This window comes from Homo sapiens, chromosome 14 (genome assembly GCF_000001405.40).
Source record: "Homo sapiens chromosome 14, GRCh38.p14 Primary Assembly".
NCBI lineage: Eukaryota > Metazoa > Chordata > Mammalia > Primates > Hominidae > Homo > Homo sapiens.
In genome coordinates this window covers 72,888,731-72,910,102 of record NC_000014.9, presented here as the reverse complement: position 1 = coordinate 72,910,102, position 21,372 = coordinate 72,888,731, and the positions used below count along the sequence as shown (strand labels likewise).

The window sequence follows — 21,372 nt, the reverse complement described above, 5'->3', positions numbered from 1 at the left end:
TGAAATTCCCCACCTTCCCCAGAGGGGAATGTCAAAGCGGCAGAAAGGCCAAGAGAGGAAAAAGAACAGTATCAAGGAAAAAGAGGAGCTGGGAGGGGTGGCTCACGCCTGTAATACCAGCAAGTTGGGAGGCTGAGGTGGGAGGATCCCTTGAGTCCGGGAGTTTGAGACCAGCCTGGGCAACATAGTGAGACTTTGTCTCTACAAAAAAATGAACAAAATTAGACAGGTGTGGTGGTGCATCCCAGCTACGTGGGAGACTGAAGTGGGTGGATCACTTGAGCCTGGGAGAATGAGTCTGCAGCCTGGGTGACAGAGTGAGACCCTCTGTCTCAAAAAAAAAAAAAAAAAAATCAAATAAAAGGAGTAGAGGCTTCTCCAACAGTAGGGGCACTGACGGTTGCCTGCTGCTTCAAAGGTATGTGTGGTTTTATTCGACTGAGAAAAAGGTTTCTTCCCTGCTTTTCAGATAGCTAATGAAAATAGCTTTGTGTGATATGACAAACCTGGTGTTGCAAATTTTAGATTTGAGAGTAAAATTCATTTTTGTGTTTTGAACTTGAAAGAAGAGCTATTTGAATCCTTTTGTAGTTCATAAGCGTGATGATTGGGTTTTCACGCGCATGTGTGAGCTTGTTATGATGTTGGCATATTACCCGTCTGACGTGGAAAAAAAAAGTTATTTGGACTGGAGTTTAGAGATTGGCAAACTTGTTGACCTAGTTTTAAGTGGAGGCTGTTAGTTACTCTAAGTTTGCTTCTACAGTCATCCTTTTATTTCCTGCCAGTAAAATGAGGATCCTGAGAGTATGTCTAAGGAGCTGTTGAGAGGCTTACACAGGCTCATTTGGATAAAGCAATTTAGAACAGTGTCTGCACTTGGGAAGCAGTATTCAATGTGACTCTTATTATTATGATGAATCCTTTCTCATTGGTTGGGCTCAGCTGTCTGCTTGAACAGGAAGCACTTTACAAAAAGTTTTTTGGAAATGGTTTATAATGTAATATAGGGTATTGATATAGTTTAAGATTCTGAGATATTGTCTGAATTACTTTGTGTATAATACTTCACCCAATGCTGTGAACTTGAGGGCACTAAATTCTATTTGATGGCAAAATTCAATCAATGGTTACTTATAGTCAACTTATAATGAGATTTAGGGATTTAATAGGATGTGGAAAAAACTTTTGATTTCTTTAAATAAATGTGTTTTACAATAAAATCAGGCACTATGGATTTTCTATTTGGGATAGCACAAATAGAAAGTTTAGCTCCATGGATGTCTAGCAGGTTCCATCAGGAATGCCTTTTTCTTTTTCATTTCTTTCTTTTTTTTTGAGATGAGTTCTCACTGTGTTGCCCAGGCTGGAGTGCATGTCACAATCATAGCTCACTGCAGCCTTGACCTCCTGGGCTCAAGTGATCCTCCTGCCTCAGCCTGCTGAATAGCTGGGATTACAGGTGCACACCACCACACCTGGCTAATTTTTGTGTTTTTTGTGGAGACACAGTTTCGCCATGTTATCCAGGATGGTCTCATACTTCTGAGTTCAAGTGATTATCCTGCCTCGGCCTCCCAAAGTGCTGGGATTACAGATGTGTGCCACCACGACTGGCCAAGAATATCTTTTTCTAAGAACTAATAAAAGGGCCTTTTATGATATCATGTTATGAGGATGAATTAAGAGGTTTTGCTATTGGATTTGAACTATTGTTTCATGTTACGATGTCCCACCACCTATTTAACCTCTTCAGTTCTGCCATCAGAATGTTGGAGTGCCATTACCAACTCTGCATCTCCTCCTCTCTTCCTCCTGGAGTTCTGGGTAAGCTATTTTGACCCACCCACTGGGAGAGCACTCTGGGCGTTGGAAGGTTAGGAGCCCTGAAAAGAAGGCAGGAGAAGAGAAGCCCTCATTCTTCTACATTAGCTGTGAGCCTGCAAAGGAAACCCCCTGCAGGGCTCCCAGATTTTAAAAGCGCCCTGGTGAGTAATGACCTGGTGAGTAATGCTCCTGCAGAGCACATGCGGGGCTCTGCCCTGTCTCCCACCTCTTTCCTTATAGTCCTTACTTAAAATAGAAACCAGTTAAATATGGTAGCCAGCTGGGAGCCTGACTTTCTACTCCTAATGCTCGCCTACCTGCCTCACGTTTAGAATTTTTTTTTTTTTTTTTGCAAAGTGAAAGCAAGTTTATTAAGAAAGTAAAAGAATAAAAGAATGGCTACTCCATAGACAGAGCAGCCCTGAGGGCTGCTGGTTGCCCATTTTTATGGTTATTTCTTGATGATATGCTAAACAAGGGGTTGATTATTCATGCCTCCCCTTTTTAGACCATATAGGGTAACTTCCTGACGTTGCCGTGGCATTTGTACACTGTCATGGCGCTGGTGGGAGTGTAGCAGTGAGGACGACCAGAGGTCACTCTTATCACCATTTTGGTTTTGGCCGACTCCTTTACTGCAGCCTGTTTTATCAGCAAGTTCTTTATGACCTGTATTTTATGCTGACTTCCTATCTCATCCTGTGACTTAGAATACCTTAGCTTACTGAGAATGCAGCCCAGTAGGTTTCAGCCTCATTTTACCCAGCTCCTATTTAATATGGAGTTGCTCTGGTTCACACGCCTCTGACAGCAGGATTTCAAGACCAGCCTGGGCAAGACAGCGAGACCCTGACTCTCTTGGGAGACCAGGTCCTGCTCTAGTGGCTGGTCTGCATGCAAAAGCGCCCCCAGGCTTGGCCCAGCCCCTTGGGATTCACCCCGCTTTTAGAAATGTAGAGTAAGTTCCAGAGTGCTTGGACATCCTTTCCTAAAGGGCTTTGTGTGGGGGACAGATTTGCACCCCTTTTCCAGCAGCACCATGTGCTCTTGATGCATTTAAGGCATCTGCTCTCCATTTATTCTCCTGATCCCAGAAAGAAGATTGGGAATAATTATTTGAGTTTTCAGTCTGTGCTCTGGGTACCTCTTTGCAGAGTGTCTGAGGCATAAATCTGTCTGTGACTTCCGGGACAAATGAATAGTCATTTGAAACATCAGCCATGGGTAGGTGTGGCCTCTGGGGCTTTTCCACAAGGCAGGGCAGGGCTAATCTGTAAAATAACATTTGAGGCCATTCTGCTGGATGTTCAAGTTCAGGTACTTGACCATTCAGGGGACATAGATATAGGCTACAGGTACAACATGGCATTCACAAAGGAAGAAGCAGAAGGTGTTGTAGGTTTCATGAGCAAAGAAAGTAGTGTGGGTTGCAGTTTTGTTACAGGTGTAAGCAACAAAAAGAAAAAAAGATGAAAAAATAAAAGAAACAAAATGAAAGTGGCATGGTGCATGTCTTATATTTGCACAGGGGTTGCACAGGGAATGTCTCTCCAAGTTCTTGCAGCAGGGAGAAGGCAGGTTCCAAAGCATTGCTGGCTACCCCAGCAATCGGGGCACTATGAGCAAACTGGATCAGTGCATACTAAGGCTGTTTTTTTTTTTTTTTTAATTTTTTTCTTCTCATGCCTTGCATTCCTTCTGGGCAAAACTGGAATAGTTCGGGAATTCTTGCTTCATGTGCTGTTGAGTCTACTGAATCTAAGTTTCTGGCAACAAACGAACTAGATGGGCAAACAATTTGAGGTAAGTGTGTGAGGTTAATTTTTTCTTCTGCTCTCAATGAATAACAGATCTGATGCAAAAACAGCTCTGGCTATGGAAGTGGGCATCTTTTTCCCCCCATCTGACTCAGCATAGGTGAGAAATAACTTGAACATGTTTTACTGCTCTAATGGTATGCAGGATCACAGGTCATCTTTTCTTAGAGGAAAGTCTCTGCTCCCCTTGAATTTGCAGATGGACTCACCAAAGCTCAGCAAGGAAAAGAGGAATTATAAAGAGGACTTAATTAATTCATTATTTTTTTTTGAGACACAGTCTCACTCTGTCATCCAAGCTGGAGTGCAGTGGTGCAATCTCCACTCACTGCAACCTCTGCCTTCCAGGTTCAAGCCATTCTCCCACCTCAGTCTCCTGAGTAGCTGGGACTACGGGCATGTGCCACCACACCCGGCTAATTTTTGTATTTTTAGTATAGACAGGGTTTCGCCATGTTGGCCAGGATGGTCTCGAACTCCTGACCTCAGGTGATGCGCCTGCCTTGGCCTCCCAAAGTGCCAAGATTACAGACGTGAGCCATTGCACCTGGCCAAGAGGATTTACTTTTGTTACAACATGTATATTTTGGTTGATCCAGTGGAGTAATTTCTTTAATTTCAGCTAAGTGATCTAGCCATGGTTCTTACTCAACTATATCACTCAGAAAGTATCCTAAGATCTGGCTGGGCATGGTGGCTCACACCTGTAATCCCAGCAGTTTGGGAGGCTGAGGCGGGCGGATCACATGAGGCCAGGAGTTGGAGAGCAGTCTGGGCAAATGGCGAAACCCTGTCTCTACTAAAAATACAAAAATTAGACAGGCGTGATGGCCCCCCTCTAGTCCCAGCTACTCGGAAGCCTGAGATAGGAGAAACACTTGAACCCGGGAGGCGGAGGTTGCAGTGAGCTGAGATCGCACCACTGCACTCCAGCCTGGGTGACTGAGTGAGATTCTGTCTCAAAAAAAAAAAAAAAAAAAAAAGTATCCTAAGATCTGAGCAGTCAAGTTTTTCATTGCTGCATCGGTTTGACAGGTGGTGTATTCTTTACATGTCAATATCCTGATGGGGCATTAATGCAGGACTGTCTGTCATGGACCTAATTGTCATTCACTTTCAACAAACATCTCATGAATACTTACTATGTTCCAGAACTTCTTGACAGAAGAACTCGTTTGTGTCATAGTGGTGCTCCTTCAACCTTTTCCTGCCTTCCAGGTACCCATGTAAATATTGCTGTTTGGCAGTTCCTTCTAGAGCTGGAACCCAACAGGATTTCCCAACTTTATGACTTTCAAAGGGTGGCATCCCTGCTCACTGACACTAGAGGGCGCCCAATTGCCAGTAACAAATTTGGGCACTGGGATTTAGGGCACTGTTTGAAAACTTGTTTTACTCTTCAGCAAAAAACAGTTGCACAACTTCATCCTCCTCCCAATGGGGCATCAAAGAAGGAGACACTCTAATGTGGACTAGACGTTGGTTTGTTTCCATTAAGGCTTGCTTTCCTAAAACCCAGGCTTTTGGACTATCCCTGAGAACAGTGAGTAACTTGTTAGTAATTGCATATCCTGGTTGTTGCATTTAATCCCATCCTGCTGTCATCCACCACATCCCTATCTAATTCCAGAATATCTCAGCATGAAGCTCTCGAAAGGACTGGCTCCTTTCTAAACCTCAAAAGGCTTACAGACAGACCAGTCCGGTTCTCATTTTGCTCTCTGTTTTGTCTAATGCCCCTTTTCCTTGAACACAGGCAAGCCTTATCTCCCATTTTGGTCCAGGACTATCTGGCTACAATGAATTTGTTTGGTCTCATTCTGTTAACTCAGACTCCCTCTAACTCCACCATTCCTTGTCATCTGTTCTTTCCCTTCTTTGTTCCTGTTCAGCATCAACGAGTTCTCAATTTTGCATTTTCTATCTGGGAAGAAGGGAGAAGTATTTCTCAAGTGTTGACTGTGTGTCAGTTACTCTTCTTTATGTCACTTACAGTATCACATGCAGAAGCTGGTATGAATAGCCCCATTTTACAGATGAGTACACTGAGGTTCATGGTCAAGTCACCTGCCAGAGGTTGTGTACCTTGGAAGTAGTCAAGCTGGGATTCAGTTCTAGGGTTTTTGGATTTCTCTTTCTCCACTACCACCCTCCTTCCTTAGACTTTTATACTATTTGATATTGTCATCAGTGCTTCCAGTCATATTCCTTGTTTTTGTTCCTTGGTTTTGTCACATGAAAGTTTATCCAAAATTCATAATTCATGATCAAAACTAGCTAAAGACATTATAAAACTGAAAAAGGACCTCAATTCAGATGGAATTGTCCCTCCTACCCGCACTATATCTCAGAACTTAAAAGAAACCCAAATTTGAGGTAGGAGTAGCTTTGGTCATTAAGTAAAACAGGTTCTCAGTTCAGCCCGCATTGTGAGACTTCATTTGAGGAGTCACTCCAGAGTAGCTAATATACAAGATTTTTTTTTTTTTTTCTGTCTTGCTTTGTAGCTCAGGCTGGAGTACAGTGGTGTAATCATGGCTCACTGCAGCCTTGACCTCTGGACTTAGGCAATCCTCCCACCTCAGCCTTCAGGCTTCATATAAATATAGAAGCACCAAATTGAAAATTGAATCTCTTCTAATAGTCTCCATTTTCTACCTGTTTAACACAGTTCTAAAGGAGAAAATAGCCACAGAAATTTCTGGTATTTATTATGAGTAGAGAATTTTTAAAAATAGCTTAATTGAGATATAATTCATATACCATAAAATTTACCCACTTATAGTGTACAAAGCTGGGCATTATAGTGTACAAAGCTGGTTCCATGGCTTCTATCCATCTCTCCTGCTGTGGTCACTTGAGGTGGGAGGATCCTTTAGCCCAGGAGTCCAGCCTGGGCAACATAGTGAGATACTGTCTCTAAAAACAAACAAACAAACAAAGTACACAGTTCAATAGTGTTTAGTATATCCAGAGATATGTGCAGCCATCACCACAGTCAATTTGAGAACATTTTCATCACCTCGAGAAGAAACCCCATATCGTTCAGCTGTCCCCCTCCTATTCCCACACACTTGCCGTCTCCAGCCCTGAGTAACCACTAATCTCCTTCCTGGCCCTGTGGATTTCCATATTCTGGAATTTCATGAGAATTGAATCATAGAGTGTGCAGTCTTTTGTGACTGGCTTCTTTCACTTAGCACTATGTTTTCATGATTCATCCATGTTGTATTGTAGCATGTAACAGTACTTTTATTTTTTTTTACGGCGAAATAATGTTCTCTTGTATGGATACACCACCTTTGGCTTATCTATTTGTCTGCTGATGGACATTTGGGTTGCTTCCACCTTTTGGATATTGTGAATAATGCTGCCATAAACATTCATGTCCTGTTTCTTTGTGGACATATGTTTTCATTTCTCTTGGAGATATACCTAGGAGTGGAATAGCTGGGTCACATGGTAACTCTATGTTTAGTCATTTGTGGAACTGCTGGACTGCTTCCCAAAACAGCTGGACCATTTTACAATTACACCATCAGCATATTAGGGTTCTGATTTCTCCATTTCTCTGTTCTTAATAACAATTGTTATTTTTGACTTTTTGATTTTAGCCACCTAGTAGGTATGGAGTAGATTTTTTTTTTTTTTGTAAATAGAGAGAGAGTCTCACTATGTTGCTCAGGCTGGTTTTGAACTCCTGGCCTCAAGCCATCCTCCCTGTCTTGGTCTCCCAAACCGTTGGGATTATAGGTGTGAGCCACCTGGCTGGGCCTAGCTTTTTTTTTTTTTTTTTTTTTTTTTTAATGGGGAGGGATTTATATCACTAGATTTAGTAATTTGTGCTTTTACTTATTCTTGCAACTACCAATTATTAACCATCTGCTAGGCCTTGGGCCAGACTCTGGAGATTTAAGGTGTCCTATCTGGCCTCTACACCTTGTGGGATAGGAAAACAGAAAATGAGATGTACTAAAATACAAGTATTTTAATAGAGCTATTCATAAAACTGTGCAAAAACCCAAAGCAGCAAGTGCCTAACTTGAGATATATTTAATCCAAATAAGTGTTAGATTTAAGCTACTGAATGGCTACGATTAAAATGTTTACCATCAGCTTTATCAAAAGCCTTTCTAGAAACATGGTGGCTTTCAGAGTCGCTGTTAATGAGCCCACTTGTGTCTAGAAAATAGCCCTCACTTTCAGAATTGTCATTGAGTTACAACTATTACAATATGGTGACAATACAAATATGTGTCTGTTGTACATGGACACAATAAGTCGTGTTATCCTTTGATTGGTGAGAACAAAGAGCATCTGATGACTTTGGGATTCCAGGTACAGAAAATAAATTTCCTTTGCTGCTTAGGTCTTTAATAGTCCCATTTTATTGGATTTTTCGCCTTTCCCCTTACCAGAACCAATTACTTCCATTTTTTCCCTTCTCTCAGCAGTCCCACCTCGCTGATTTTCCCTGCTCCATTTCCTCTATCTTTATTTACTTCGGGGTTCTCTGGGCTGTGCCTCTGTCCCAGAACCCATTGCTGCATTGGAGAAGTTGTCCTCAGCCTGGCTGCCCTGTTGGCTTAGATGCATTTAAAATGCACAGGGCCCTCTGTGGGCTTTAGGAACATTTGCTCACCTTCTTCTCTTTTCCTCTGGAGTAGCATAAACATGGAGTTGAGGTCCTTTTGCAACTATACAGGCCAGAGTTCATTGCCCGAGGCTGTCTGAGAACAGAAAACACCTGCTTTATTTCAGCAGGCCTCTGTCTCCCTCTTTGCCAGAGTGGGGGACATTTTAGGTTCCGTGGCTTCCATCCATCTCTCCTGCTGCGGTCACCTATTTTTATATGGTGGTGTAAATATCTGCAGGACAACAAGACTTAATATGCCCTCCTGTGCTTGGCTTGTAGACTTCTCCTGGATGATTCCTGACTAATGACAGAGTAGAAGCCTGAGGTCATGTAAATGTTGTGAGTGAGGGAAACAGGTGCCTGGGAGTGTCACCACACTTAAAGCAACACCCTGTAGAAAGCCCTCTTTGGGGGCCTTTGAGGCATCCACCTTTGCAGATGAAAAAAAGCTTCTCTAACCAAGAAATGGCCAAGGGGTGAATTTTCTTTCTTCACATGTATGTATAGTTTTAAGGAATTTTGTTCATGCATGTCTTGGTCACTCCCCATGGTGGTAATAAGGGACAGTGTTTTTCTCCTGTTCCATTCTGTCCCTGTCTGCAGGAGGCCTTGCCAGTTGCTTTGACTTAGGACAGAAGAACTACCAGGATTTCAGATATGGTGTCCATGTGGGTGGGCTGAAGGAGGACTTGGAAAATGTGGACTTGGCAGGTAGAGGAGGGTGGAAGAGAGAGAGGAGAGTTAGCCATCTTAAATAAATAGACCCCATGAGAGCTCTGCAACCAGTGGCTTTATCAGGAAGAAGACCCGAGGCCCACTTGAGATGGTCTGGTGTTAGTGAGGGAGAAGGGGGCTGGGGCTGGTCTTTAGAGTAGACTGTGATTACTCTGTGTGATTTGAGTGGAGAAACCTCCTGTGTAAAAATATTCCATCTGCTGGCTTTCCTGGTGTCTGAGGTTCTAATCAAGCCACTACTTATGCACGTGTGTGTGTGTGTGTGTGTGAGAGAGAGAGAGTGTGTGTGTACTGTGTATCTTATGAAGTCTTAATCCCTTCCTTGTGTAGGTTTTGAGGTGTCCTAGAATTCCCTCTTAAAATGCAACCACCCAGGAGGGAAACTCCTTTAAATCAATTCAGAGCATGTCGTAAAGGAAAGGATGGGGATTAGAAGAAGGGAATTTGGAAGAGGCTCCCACTGAAGGTGAAGTCCTTAGAGGAAGGAAAGCTGGCACTGTTGCGTGGAGGGGGATATTAAGACAATCTCAGCCTCTCACAGCCTCTCAGCCTAGGTTACCCACCATTGCCCCAGGGGATAGATTTATACCAACATTAGGGAAGTGTTGGGGATGGAGGATTAAGGTTTTCTAGTAAGGCAAACCCCTGCTCCATGACAGAAAATCTCAGTGCTTCATTGGCCTCCAGCCCTCAGGCCTTGGCCTTGACTGTGTGTTTCTCCAGTCAAGACCAAGCTGACCAATGTCCATTCCCAGGTGCATCATCCAGGGCCCCTCCTGTGTCCCTCAAACCCACAGCATGCCAGTCACCAAGTCCTGCCGATTCTACTTCCTTAGAAGCCACTGATTCTGCCCTGTATACCTCATCCTGGGCTGCCACAGCCCCTTAACAGGTTCCCAGGCCTGCAGCTCAGCTTTCAATCCATGGTCATGCTGCTGCTGGAATGAACTTGTAAAAAAAGGCAGATGTCTTCATTTTCACTCCTAGCTTAAAATCTTTTGGTGTTGCCTGATGGCCTCCCAGATGAAACACATTTTTTAGCAATAACACCCGCTCCTTGCTTCTGCTTTCTCTGTCTCACTCATCCCTCTGCATAAATTACCTTCCTACCAGAGGGATCTCTTGAAATCACAGTGCCCTCTCCCACTTCCCTGAAGGTGCTGCCATCTCTGTAGGGACACCCTTTCCTCCTCCAGGTCATCCGGGACTTAGCTCAGGCATCAGCTCTTCTAGGAAGACGATCCTGACCTTCTGTGTTCTGGCAGGTGCTCTTCATCCAGCCCCACAGTGCCCTGAGCTCCGTGGCTTCCTGTTTCTGCCTTGTAACTGCCTTCTCCTCCCACCCCATCTCTCAAATATGATCCCTTTAAAGTGGGGTTATGGGGGTTTTCTTAGGTCTTTCTGTACTCCAAGGCCCAGCAGTAGATAATCTACAAATATTTGCTATATGAATTAGCTGTTGCTAGGTTATGGTTTTGGTGTAGAAGGCCTTTCACCCCTTGGCTTATTTCTAAGAGCTCCCCAAGCAAGGCCCAATTTAAATATGACCTTCTCCTTGAAGTCTTTCCCTCGACCAGCGTTAGAAATGCTCAAGAACTACCCCCTCCCTCCACTGACGTTCTTTGATATGTATCACTTCTCCTTCTTCTCCTTTGTTTTGTACAAATCTGTGAAAATCTCAATACCTTGAAACCTTGAAAACCCAAAGGAGTGAATGCATTCAACAAACACTCAAGGATGAACCCTTTGGATTACGGGCACCAGGCCAGGAAAAGAAGACTGGCTGGGCAGGCTGCTGCTTCCTTTTAAGTCACATCAAGTAATTGCTCTACTTGCTCACAGGGTTGGGCCTACTGTCTTTATTCTGTCTCCAGATGGATGGAAATTGCTTTTTGAGAATTGTTTCCACATCTGGTTTATTTTTATTTTGCCACCTGTGCCTAGCGCAATGCCTCCCTTAGAGAAAGCCTCCAGTGACTGAATGAATGAATGAATGAATGAACTAAGTTAGTGAGCAGCAGTAAACATTGATTCTATTTGACTCTGCCCTGAATTATGAGGTTTCAAAGGACTACCCCAGGAGCATCTCGCATCCTGAGAAATTGATTGTGTGTGTGTGTTTGTACACACTGAGATACTGTGAAGGGCCTAAAAACTCCTCTCCCAACATTCCCCCAGGAACAGAGAAAATTAGATCGCAGTTTTGATGCTCCCTTTTCTTCCAAAGGATTCCTCTTCCTCTTCAGCTCAGTGCCTGGAGGAACATATCAGAGCTGGTTCTGGATCTCAGGGAACCAGCACAGCCAACCAGTCGCTGAGGCCATGGCTGGTTGCTCTGTGGATGGACGGAGGGATTGAGGGTGAGCTTGTTCTTGTTTTTAATCCCCATGGGACTTAAAACCCCTTCAGCTCTTGAAGTCCATTAGGAACTGCATTTGTTTTGGATGGCTTTTGTGGCACACTTCCTCTTTCAAATGAACTCTTTGGCTGTTTGGAAGGCCTGTGTCTCCTTCTCTTACTTCTCTCTCATGTTTACATGTGCCTTTAAAAAGTCAGCTGGAAAGGTTGGCACTTGCTACGGAAATGCCATTCTTTCCTGCTTCTGGATGGGTTTCTTATAGCTTTGTGTTGTCTGCTGAAACAGCCCTCAAACTTTTTAGGAGTAAAGAGGGATGGGGGCTGGGTGTGGTGGCTCATGCCTGTAATCCCAGCACTTTGGGAGGCCGAGGTGGGTGGATCACCTGAGGTCAGCAGTTCGACACCAGCCTGGCCAACATGGTGAAACCCTGTCTCTACTAAAAATACAAAAATTAGCTGGGCGTGGTGGCAGGTGCCTGTAATCCCAGCTACTTGGGAGGCTGAGACAGGAGAATCGCTTGAACCCGGGAGGCAAAGGTTGTGGTAAGCCGAGATCGGATCACTGTACTCCAGCCTCAAAAAATAAAATAAATAATTAAGAAAAAGAGAGATGGATGTCCTTTTGGCTTAGGTTCTTGGGTCCTTGGTTGTGCCCAGTGTTCCTTCAAACGGATGGCATTCAACAAATACTTGAGCTGGGCCAGGGAGTTTCACTCACTGACATCAAGGGTGAGTTAATATGGTTGAGAATGGTCCCCACACTTCTTTCCCTGGTGACACACACTTCTTATATGTTTTTATTGTACAGTGCAAAAAGGCAGATCTCTTCATTTTATTGTACAGTGCAACACTGTACAATAAAAATACAATGCCATCCACATGTACAATTTAAAATTTCCTAGTGGCCACATTAAAAAAAAGTAAAAAGAAATAGGTGAAATTAGTCTTCATAACATATTTTCTTTAATCCAGTAAATCCAAAATATCATTTCAACAAATGATCAATGTAAAAATTATAATGAGATATTTTACCTTCTATTTGTCCTAAGTCTTTGAAATCAGGTGCATTGTTTTATACTTACAGCGCATCTCAATTGGGAGTAGCCACATTTCAAGTGCTCAGTAGTCACCTGTGGCCCATGGCTCCTATATTGGACAGTGAAGCTCAACATTCTCCAGGTGAGATGTGGAGGTGATTATTCTGGGGCCACTCTGCTCTCCAAATTAAGCTGCCTAACTAGCTAAATCAAGATAAAAGGGATAGAATACAATGAAGTGTATTCAAATATATGAATAGCTATGGAGCTTTAGAAATGGGATTTTAGGCTATGGGTGCGGTAGTTCATGCCTGTGATCCCAGAACTTTTGGAGGCTGAGGTGGGAGGATCATATGAGTCCAGGAGTTTGAGATCAGTCTGGGCAACATAGTGTTACCTGGTCTCTACAAAAAATTAAAAAATGAACTGAGTATGGTGGTTTGTCCTGTGGTCTCAGCTACTTGGGAGGTTGAAGTGGGAGGATCACTTGACCCCAAGAGTTTGAGGCTGCAGTGAGTTATGTTGAGCTGTGTTTGCACCACTGCACTCCAGCCTGAGCAACAGAGCAAGACCCTGTCTGAAAACAATAACAACAACGACAAAAAACTCCAGGGCTTTGGGAGGCTGAGATGGGTGGATCACCTGAATTCAGAAGTTCGAGACCAGCCTGGCCAGCCTGGCCAACGTGGTGAAACCCTGTCTCTACTAAAAATACAAAAAATTAGCTGGACGTGGTGGTGGGCACCTGTAATCCCAGCTACTCGGGAGGCTGAGGCAGGAGAATCGCTTGAACCCGGGAGGTGGAGGTTGCAGTGAGCTGAGATCACACCACTGCACTCCAGCCTGGGCAACAAGAGTGAAACTCCGTCTCAGAAAAAAAAAAAAAATTTAAAAAGTGTTTTGGTATCACAATCAGCAAGAAGCCTTTTTTAGGGTTATATAGTTATGTGACCCCTCATTGAAACATCATTCTTATTTATTATTTTATTCTAATCCAAGTTGTCCATTTGCTCATTTTTCTTGGATTAATGAGTTTAGAAAACTAAATGTGATGGCTAATTTCACTTTCTGTTGTGCCTTGTTTTTTGGATTCCCTACATTCCATATGCCGTAAGGAAAGAATTAATTATCTCTGTAAGAAATAATAACATGGATTGAAAGCTTGCTGTGTGTCAGACACTTGACATGTATTACCTCATTTAATCCTGGCAAGTAAATATGCCCAAGGTAACCCAGCTGGTAAATAGTGGACTCAGGCTGGTAGATTCCAGAGCTCATACTTCTGCCATGTACAGCACTATGAAATTGCCCCAGAACTGCCAAACTTCTCCAAAACTGTTTAAGGATACTGTCCTCTTTAAACATGCCTACTCTTTGCTTTTGAACCTTCTGGTTAAAAAAAAAAAAAAAAAGAAATCTTTATATTTTGATCTATAATGTAAACATTAAAGTAAAATAACTCTTTTGTTAAATATAAGTGTTTCTTTAAAAGTCATAACTGTATTGATAGAGTTAAAATGACATTCCATTGGGTTACAAAAAGCAAGGCTATCCTTTTTTTTTTTTTAAAGTACTGTCTTTAATTCACTATTTTCCAATCCAATCAATAAATCTGATCTGACATTTTCAAGTTCGTTAGGTAGTTAGAGATTATGCTGGTTTCTGCATCCAGGCCTTAACACAATAAATGATATGTACATGCTTAGAGTATGTGTTTTCTTTAATATGTAATATACATTTGTTTTTTCTCTCTTCCCCCATTGTAAATCTTGTTCAGGACATGCTCTACATTTCCTCCTTTATCAGGCTGCATGTAAGAAAATACGTTGTCGTCTACTAATCTGAATTGTTGTGTCTTTGATACCTCAAAGAGGTTATTGGGAGTTCTAACTGATAATTCAAACTCATACTTCTTGGGTCAGAATACAGTTCTTGCTTTTCAATGATGTCAAGGCCCACCTCAGGCAAAGTATAGGCTTCTGAACCAATTTCTTGTCAAATTAGTAAAGAAGGGATTTTTCAAACTTCAATTTTGGAAAAGGAGATAACTTTTTCAAACTGTAATCTCTGCCAAGATGCTATGCAAAGGATTTACAAAGGAATCTATAGAACTCAATTCTGCTTCTTAAATACGCAGAGAGGAGTTAAAGATTTCAAATCTTTTAAAAACATAGTGATTCAGCCACGTTCTGTTTATCTGTAAATCTAATAGTGTATGTAGTTGAACTCTTAAAATTCTGGAATGTTTATTTTATTTTATTCATTGTCTTGAGAGGAGCAAAAGGAAGCGAGAGGGCATAGCTTTGAAGAACTGGCAATTTGGCAACTTCTCTCCCCTTGCCACCCCTCCCCCACTATCTTAGCTATTTGATCTGATTAAACAGCTTTGGAATGGTAGCCAGACTTCTGTATGCTAACGAGGCCCCTACCCTATTCGCGATTTAATGCGATTTCATCCCCCCAGAGCTTCCCGGTGCCCAGTGGAAGCCTGACTTCGCAGAAGTCTCCCAATTTTGTCAGGGGCTCGCCAGTGAAGAGTTCACACTGACTTGAAGCAGACACAGACTCATTGGACGCCTCGGGTCACATCGGATTATTCATTAGCAAATTCTTTCCACCTTCTATCTAAGTAGTGAAAGGTGACGCCAGAATCGCGTGTGCCACTCCTCTAAAGGGACCCTGATAACACCCAGTCCAGGCTCTACAACTTCTGCCTAGTCACTTGCTTCCTAGCAGTAGAAAGTTTCCAAAGGTTGCCTTAAGTCCTCCCTACCCCTAAGCCTAAAGATCAGAGCTCCAGGTCCCACCACCTAGCAGGAATCTGAGCATTTTGGAAGTTTCTGGTGTAGAGGGAAGAACCGAAGGGGTGGTAGCGGGGAACCGCGCAGAGTAACCCCCCTGCACTACGTAAGGAAAGCCCTGGCTGCAGGAGGGAGCGAGCCTGACATTGAGACGTTCCAGGGGGAGGGTGAGTTGCTGTCCTGGAGTCGCCAGGAACAGCAGCGACAGTTCCAAGAAGCGAGAGAGGAAGGTGGCCGAGATAAAGAGAACACTTCGGGAATAAGAATATTAAAAAGCGGCAGGACCCAGAGCATTAGCAAACGGCAGAGCACATGTAGTAATTTGTTAACACGAAACGGCAGCCTTCCAACTTTTGCACTGAAACACGGGGATTTACCCTTTGGGGGATTAAAAATGTTGATACGCAAAGCCAAAGGCTAATGAATAGGATTCAGTGGCTTGCTGGCAATATTTAAATATTTCTGTCCGGGAGCGCAAACTCTTCTGCAGTTATTTAGAAAAGTAGGGAGTTAAACCAAACTATAATACTCTCCCGTGCGTCTCCACTTTCCCCAGCCCGAAAAGGAGCTACCAGCGCTGTACTGCCCCTTTAAGACCTGCTGGCTCTCGGGCTCTACAAAAGGGAGTGACCTCTGGGCTTTGACAGCTCTCCTAATAACTACCACGGCGCAGGCCCCGCCCACCTAGCTACCAGCAGCGCCGATTGGCCGGCGGGCCGGTATCCCGCGCTGTGATTGGCCCGTCGCTTCCCCTGAGCGAACCTTTAGAACTCTGAGACAATATTCTGTTACATTGTAGCAAAATGGCGACTGTCATTCACAACCCCCTGAAAGCGTAAGTAAGACTAAAAAATGTACATATTCCGCGTGGTTTCAATATGAAAAAAAAGGCGCCTTCTGCGTGGCGAGCGCTGCCAGAGCATTGCGCTTGCAGGCGCCTCCAGCCGCGGCGGGGCTTCTCTCTTCTTTCAGCTCTTACTTCTTCATCTTCTTTTTTTCCCCCAACGCGCAGAAATGTCAGGAGATGCAATTAACAAGAAGAAAATTGTTACATTTGTGTTCTGCTAAATTGCAGAGAGAGCCAGATATAGGGGTTGCAGGCGGAGAAGCCCGGCGCTCGAGCGCTCTACAGCAGGAGGGTCGCGGGAGCTCGGGGACGGCGCGGTCCCCGGAGTCCCCCGCCTCGCGGGCAGGGAGCGCGGCTTCGGGGGCTGCTGGGCGGGGGGCGAGCGTCGGGCAGTGGCCGCCTCGGTGTACTTGGCCGAGCCCCGCGCCCCCGAGCCCGCGGCCCCCGCCCCGCCGCTGGGTCCGCTGGGTCCAGCGGACGGACCGCGGAGGCTCCGGAGTTTGCAGGGCGCTCTTCGCCTTCCGATCGCTCGCGGGGAGTTTGTGCAAACCTTCCGGAGTTGGAGCACCGCGGGGGAAGCAGCGGGTCCCGGGCGTGCTGGGGCCCAGGTGGTCGCCCCGGGCTTTCCCCGGCAGCCCCCGGATCTCGGAGGCGCTCCGGGCGATCGAGCGTGTGTCTGCTCGTGTATTTGCGAGCGAGCTGGCTTTAGTGGATTAACGACTCGGGTTAACTTGGGGTGGATTTGGAGGCAGGGAAGCCGCAGGTCTTATGAATGGTGTTCTCGCCACCTCTGGGTGAGGCGCTGAGGCAGGCGGAGAGGCGGTTTTGGGGCTCCTGGCCCGAGGGGGCAGCGTCTGCTCCCGGCCGGGCGAGGGGCAGGTGCCTCTGGCCGCCTCGGGGAGACTTTGAGCGCTTGCCCAGATCCTGGACAGAGTGGGGCGGGCCGGGCGAGGACTCGCGGGGGCCAGCCCCGGGTCCAACAGCCAATTTCTGCCTGCCTGCCTTCCTCCTCCTTTTCATCCTTCCTTCCTTCCTTCCTTCCTTCCTTCCTTCCTTCCTTCCTTCCTTCCTTCCTTCCTTCCTTCCTTCCTTCCTTCCTTCCAGTCAGTGGAACTGTTAAGCCGCCAAGTCCGCTCGCGATCGCGGAGCCAGGGGTGGCCTCGGAAAACTAGTGTCGCTCTGAAAGGGGTGCTATTGGGTGATGTCGGCAGAGGGTGGCTCCCTCCGTATCCGAGGTGGGCTGGGGGGTCCTCACCCCTTCGACCGGGACTTCCCCGCCCGGACGAAGCCGCAGGCGAAGTGGCAGAGGGAGGTGCAGGTCGGGTGGGGGGCGGTTCATGCCGAATTCTCCCTGGTGCGTGGCCGCTGTCGACCCTGGTTCTTTTAATTCAGCGCATTCTCGTCTTCACCCCTGGCCACTCCTGGAGTTGAAAACCAGGTTCGCTCCCGGGGACGGTAGGGGGTTCCTAACGCAAAGGAATGCACAGGGAGAATCGGACGTGTTTGCGCCAGCTCGTCGCCCATCAGAAATAGGGAAAGGGGTAGGAAGGCCCCAGGTTTCAAATATATTTATATGAAAGCTGCCGTTAAGAGGACGTTGGAAGCTGAGGCTGATCAGATAGGAGCTCCTGGCTTCAGTTCTGGCTCGGAAGCTCGGATACACTGCGCTTGAACGCCACAGCGTTTCACCCAAGAAAGAAAATGTTTTATGGCAGAATAAATGGGCGTAACTTCGCCGCATCCTCGCTGCCGGTTGCTTTCGCTGCAACACCGCTGATGCTGTTTCTACCGAACCCACAACTGATTTTCAGTTTCCCCATTTCCAGCCGAAATCACATAACCGGGCTGATGCCACCTGGTAAACTCAAGTTAGAGAACCTATTTCACATGTGCACCAGGTTTGTTTCCTCCTGGGAAAGCCGTACCCTAGTTACCCGGGAGCCCGCTTTCGCGCGGGCGGGCGCAGTATCTCTAAGCTTGTGTTCCCCTACTCGCTCCAGGGTTTTTTGGATCACAGTAGGGTGCGTGTTTGGGGAGGGAGTCTGTGTAGGGTGGGGTTAAGGGTGGGGGAAGGGACAGACGCGGGAAAGAAGGTGGCGGAATTCTGGCCGGTTAGTGGAATTAGTTCTGAATTGTACTTTGTATAATTAGAAACAGTTGCAACGTGATGTATTTGTAATTGTGTTGCCACCCACATGCAGACACTAGCATACACACAACGCCCCTGCTTGCTTTTTCTAGGTGGGAGTTGCTTGGTCATTTATAATTAGCTATTCCTTTCTGCTTCCCAGACCCTTTCCCTGTGAGTAAAGGGGTATAAACAATACCACTGACCAGCCCAGCCTCTCACACCCTGGACAGTTTTTGACAACTCCTAACGCAGGAGCACACACGTTGTTATTGGGAGAGGGACACCATCTGCCTTTATTTTTTTAAAAATAACTTGTTTAATAAAACATCTTATATATTTCATTTGTTTTTAAAAGTTGCTGATCAGGAAACAATACACACGTGAATAAATTATGCATGGGATAAATTAGAACAAAGTGCAGAGACACATCCAGCCGAAGGGATGGTGGTGGTGCAGGGAGGAGGGGTAGCGGGGAGAATGGTTTGGAGAGCTATGTTTTTATCCTCATGTGTCCCTCCTGACAATGAAACAGAGCTGAACGACATTAGCATTTTCTCTGTGTGCGTTCTGAGTCTCTCTCTTCCCTCCAAAAAAAAAAAAGCCAACACCACGGACGTCTCCTACAGAAAATGGTCACACAAAGGTTTCCTCAGGATGGGGGGATAAAGTGGTGGTAGTTAATGTGTTGGGAAGAAACAAGCTCAGATTTCCAGCAGCACCTATGCAGGGCTCTGCCTACGCTGAGTATGGGCTATTTTTCACTGTACTAGCTTTTTCCACGTGGGACATTCAATAATTCAATTAGCTGGGGTGATGGGATGGCACAATTTTGAATCTCATTGCTTTGGGGTTTTCCTTAGGGTCCCAAGCTCCTGAAGCCACATCTCCTCTCTTAGCAATTTGGCTTTCTTCCTGCCTGTCTTTGATCTCCCCTCAACTCCCTTTCTTTTTCTTCCTTGTTGTACCCTTCACCCCCTTCCTCTCTGAAGCTGACAGCCCAGCTTCTCTCTCTGTTGTCGCCTTTAACATCTTATTACTGCCCAACAGGGTGTTAGAGGCAGAAATAGGAGCCGCCTGCACTGATCAGATCACAAAGGGGACACGGCAGGTGGCCCCCACAACCAAGCAGTCACATCTGGACAAATAGAATTCAAAAGCACTGGTGGACATGTATGATGTGTAAATGTGTATTACATATTATTTAATTTAGCAGCTACATTGTCTGAGCAAAGATGTATGAGAGTTACCCTCATTTCTTACATATACAAGCGAGATAAGGCCCAGGTAGTGAAGTAAACACATGCAGGTAACATAAATATGGATTTGATAAAGGCCTGCATGTAGATTAGTCACGTTCTGGTTGATTTGTGCATACCTGGGAAACATAATGCTATTATTATTATTATTATTATCATTATTTTTTGAGACAGGGTGTTGCTCTGTTGCCCAGGCTGGAGTGCAGCAGCAGGATCTTGGCTCACTGCAACCTCTGCCTCCTGGGTTCAAGTGATTCTTGTGCCTTAGCCTCCAGAGTAGCTGGGATTACAGGCGCGCACCACTACACCTGGCTAATTTTTGTGTTTTTTAGTGGAGACGGGGTTTCTCCATCTTGGCCAGCTGGTCTCAAACTCGTGGCCTCAAGTGATCTGCCTGCCTTGGCCTCCCAAAGTGCTGGGATTATAGGAGTGAGCCACGATGTCTGGCCACATAATGCTTTTAATATAAATTTGAATCTTAATATTCTAGTTCAGATAAACCACCTTCCCCCAAATCTGCAATCAGTACTTTAAACAACTTACTCTTGTATTATCAAAATCCTGGTTGGTATGCATTTAACTGAGAATGTCTGCCACCTTCTGCCAGACTTGATTATACACATATATGTCTATTATTATAATTGCCTACTTAGAAAAAAATTATTATTATTAAATTCCATATGAACCAACAGGGCTTTACCTTAAGTAATTATTTATAAAGAGACCCATAAACTATTTTGTCATGCTTATAACTGTGAACACACACATATACGTGATTGTATTGAAACTTTCTTTTGTAAGGAGTTAACCTTGCTTGGAGGTATGTGTTTATGTCCCTGTTTTGTTGTTAAGAACACTACTCTGGGAGAAGAAAATAAACTTACTTAGCCAAGTCAAACAGCAGGTCATGTGTGTAGATGAACGTCAAATCTAGATCTCTTTGTGCATTCTATGACCTGTATTAGTGTATTCTAATCTAAAGTGGTTTTGTGCATGTGAAAGTTAGAAGCCAGACCTCACTCTTGCTGTGGCACTCAGTTTAGATATCAGAGGGGAAGGGGTGGGGGTCACATTCCTGGTTCTAATCTCCTCTTAGCTCTTTCTGTCGAGGTTGGGGGGATGTGGGTAGGTACTAAGTAGACAGCATTGAGGCCGGGACTTTGTGAACTTGCTGCCTTTTATGGACATTGTTTTAGCTTCTTATGAAAAAGGACCCTCGGACGTTGTAAGCCAACAGATTCCCAAGAACCTGTTCTCCATCTGCTTCTGGTTGCCACTATAAAAAAGCCCTAAATTCTCCAAACCTCATTAGCACACATTATTTTTCAATGGGTAAATGTCTGCTTTTGATGAGACACCTATGATGGAGATTAATGTCTGCGAGAACCCAAGTGGAGGCATTGTCACAGGGTAAACCTCTGAAAATAGCCTGGTCTGCAGGCCTCCCGGGAGACATTGAAGACTGCCAGTTGAATGGGAGCTGCTTAGTCACATAAGGTGGGCTTGAATTCAGAGACAGCTGAGTTGGAGACCTCTCATCCTCCTCTTTTTGGAATCATGCAGGTAGCTGGAATTTGGATACATCTGAGAAAGACCATAATGTCTAAAGCTGTTTCAGAGCCATCTGTTCAGATCAATGCAAAAAATAAAATGTCATGGTCAGCATGTTTTGTTTTGATCATGCACCAGAAAAAGAATGGAAACTGAGGCTGATGTTTCAGTTTTCTAAGGCAGCTATGCTGACAGTAGTGGCGATGGGGGCTGGGTCATAAAGAGGCACCAGAATCCAGGCCTGTTTATTATCCCAACCTCTGCAAAGTAACTTTTGTGGTTTTTGAGTGTTTTGAAAGTCACTAGAAAACAGAAATGTAGCCAAATGTTGCAAACCTCTGGCCAAAAAAATCCCACAACCACTGAAATATTTTTT

General features: G+C 44.9%; 1 protein-coding gene, 1 long non-coding RNA gene and 1 pseudogene across 5 annotated transcripts in view, besides 1 other annotated feature; all 3 read left to right on the top strand.

Moving 5' to 3' along the window:
- Nucleotides 1-579: 579 nt before the first annotated feature.
- Nucleotides 580-666, top strand: LOC124903429 (uncharacterized; annotated as a pseudogene).
- Nucleotides 667-1,760: 1,094 nt separating this feature from the next.
- Nucleotides 1,761-12,732, top strand: LOC107984711 (uncharacterized). Its single transcript, XR_001750998.1, has 3 exons — nucleotides 1,761-2,003; nucleotides 3,545-3,630; nucleotides 12,458-12,732. It is a non-coding gene; the product is annotated as an uncharacterized LOC107984711 (long non-coding RNA).
- Nucleotides 15,748-16,042: an enhancer, noted in NCBI's record as "tiled region #237; K562 Activating DNase unmatched - State 1:Tss, and HepG2 Activating DNase unmatched - State 4:PromP". NCBI's record gives its function as "activates a minimal TATA promoter and a strong SV40 promoter by Sharpr-MPRA in K562 cells, with weaker activity in HepG2 cells {active_cell/tissue: K562 | HepG2}" and the evidence as "EXISTENCE:reporter gene assay evidence [ECO:0000049][PMID:27701403]".
- DPF3 (double PHD fingers 3) overlaps nucleotides 16,002-21,372 on the top strand; it is a 285,068-nt gene continuing 279,697 nt past the window's right edge. For 3 of the 4 annotated variants that reach the window (NM_001280542.3, NM_012074.5, NM_001280543.2), the window contains exon 1: nucleotides 16,002-16,046. In NM_001280542.3, coding sequence (NP_001267471.1) covers nucleotides 16,015-16,046 — 32 coding nt within the window. In that variant the 5' untranslated portion in view covers nucleotides 16,002-16,014. Of the gene's footprint in view, nucleotides 16,047-17,453; nucleotides 17,957-21,372 lie in introns of those variants that run through there. The other variant, NM_001280544.2, reaches the window with a different exon arrangement.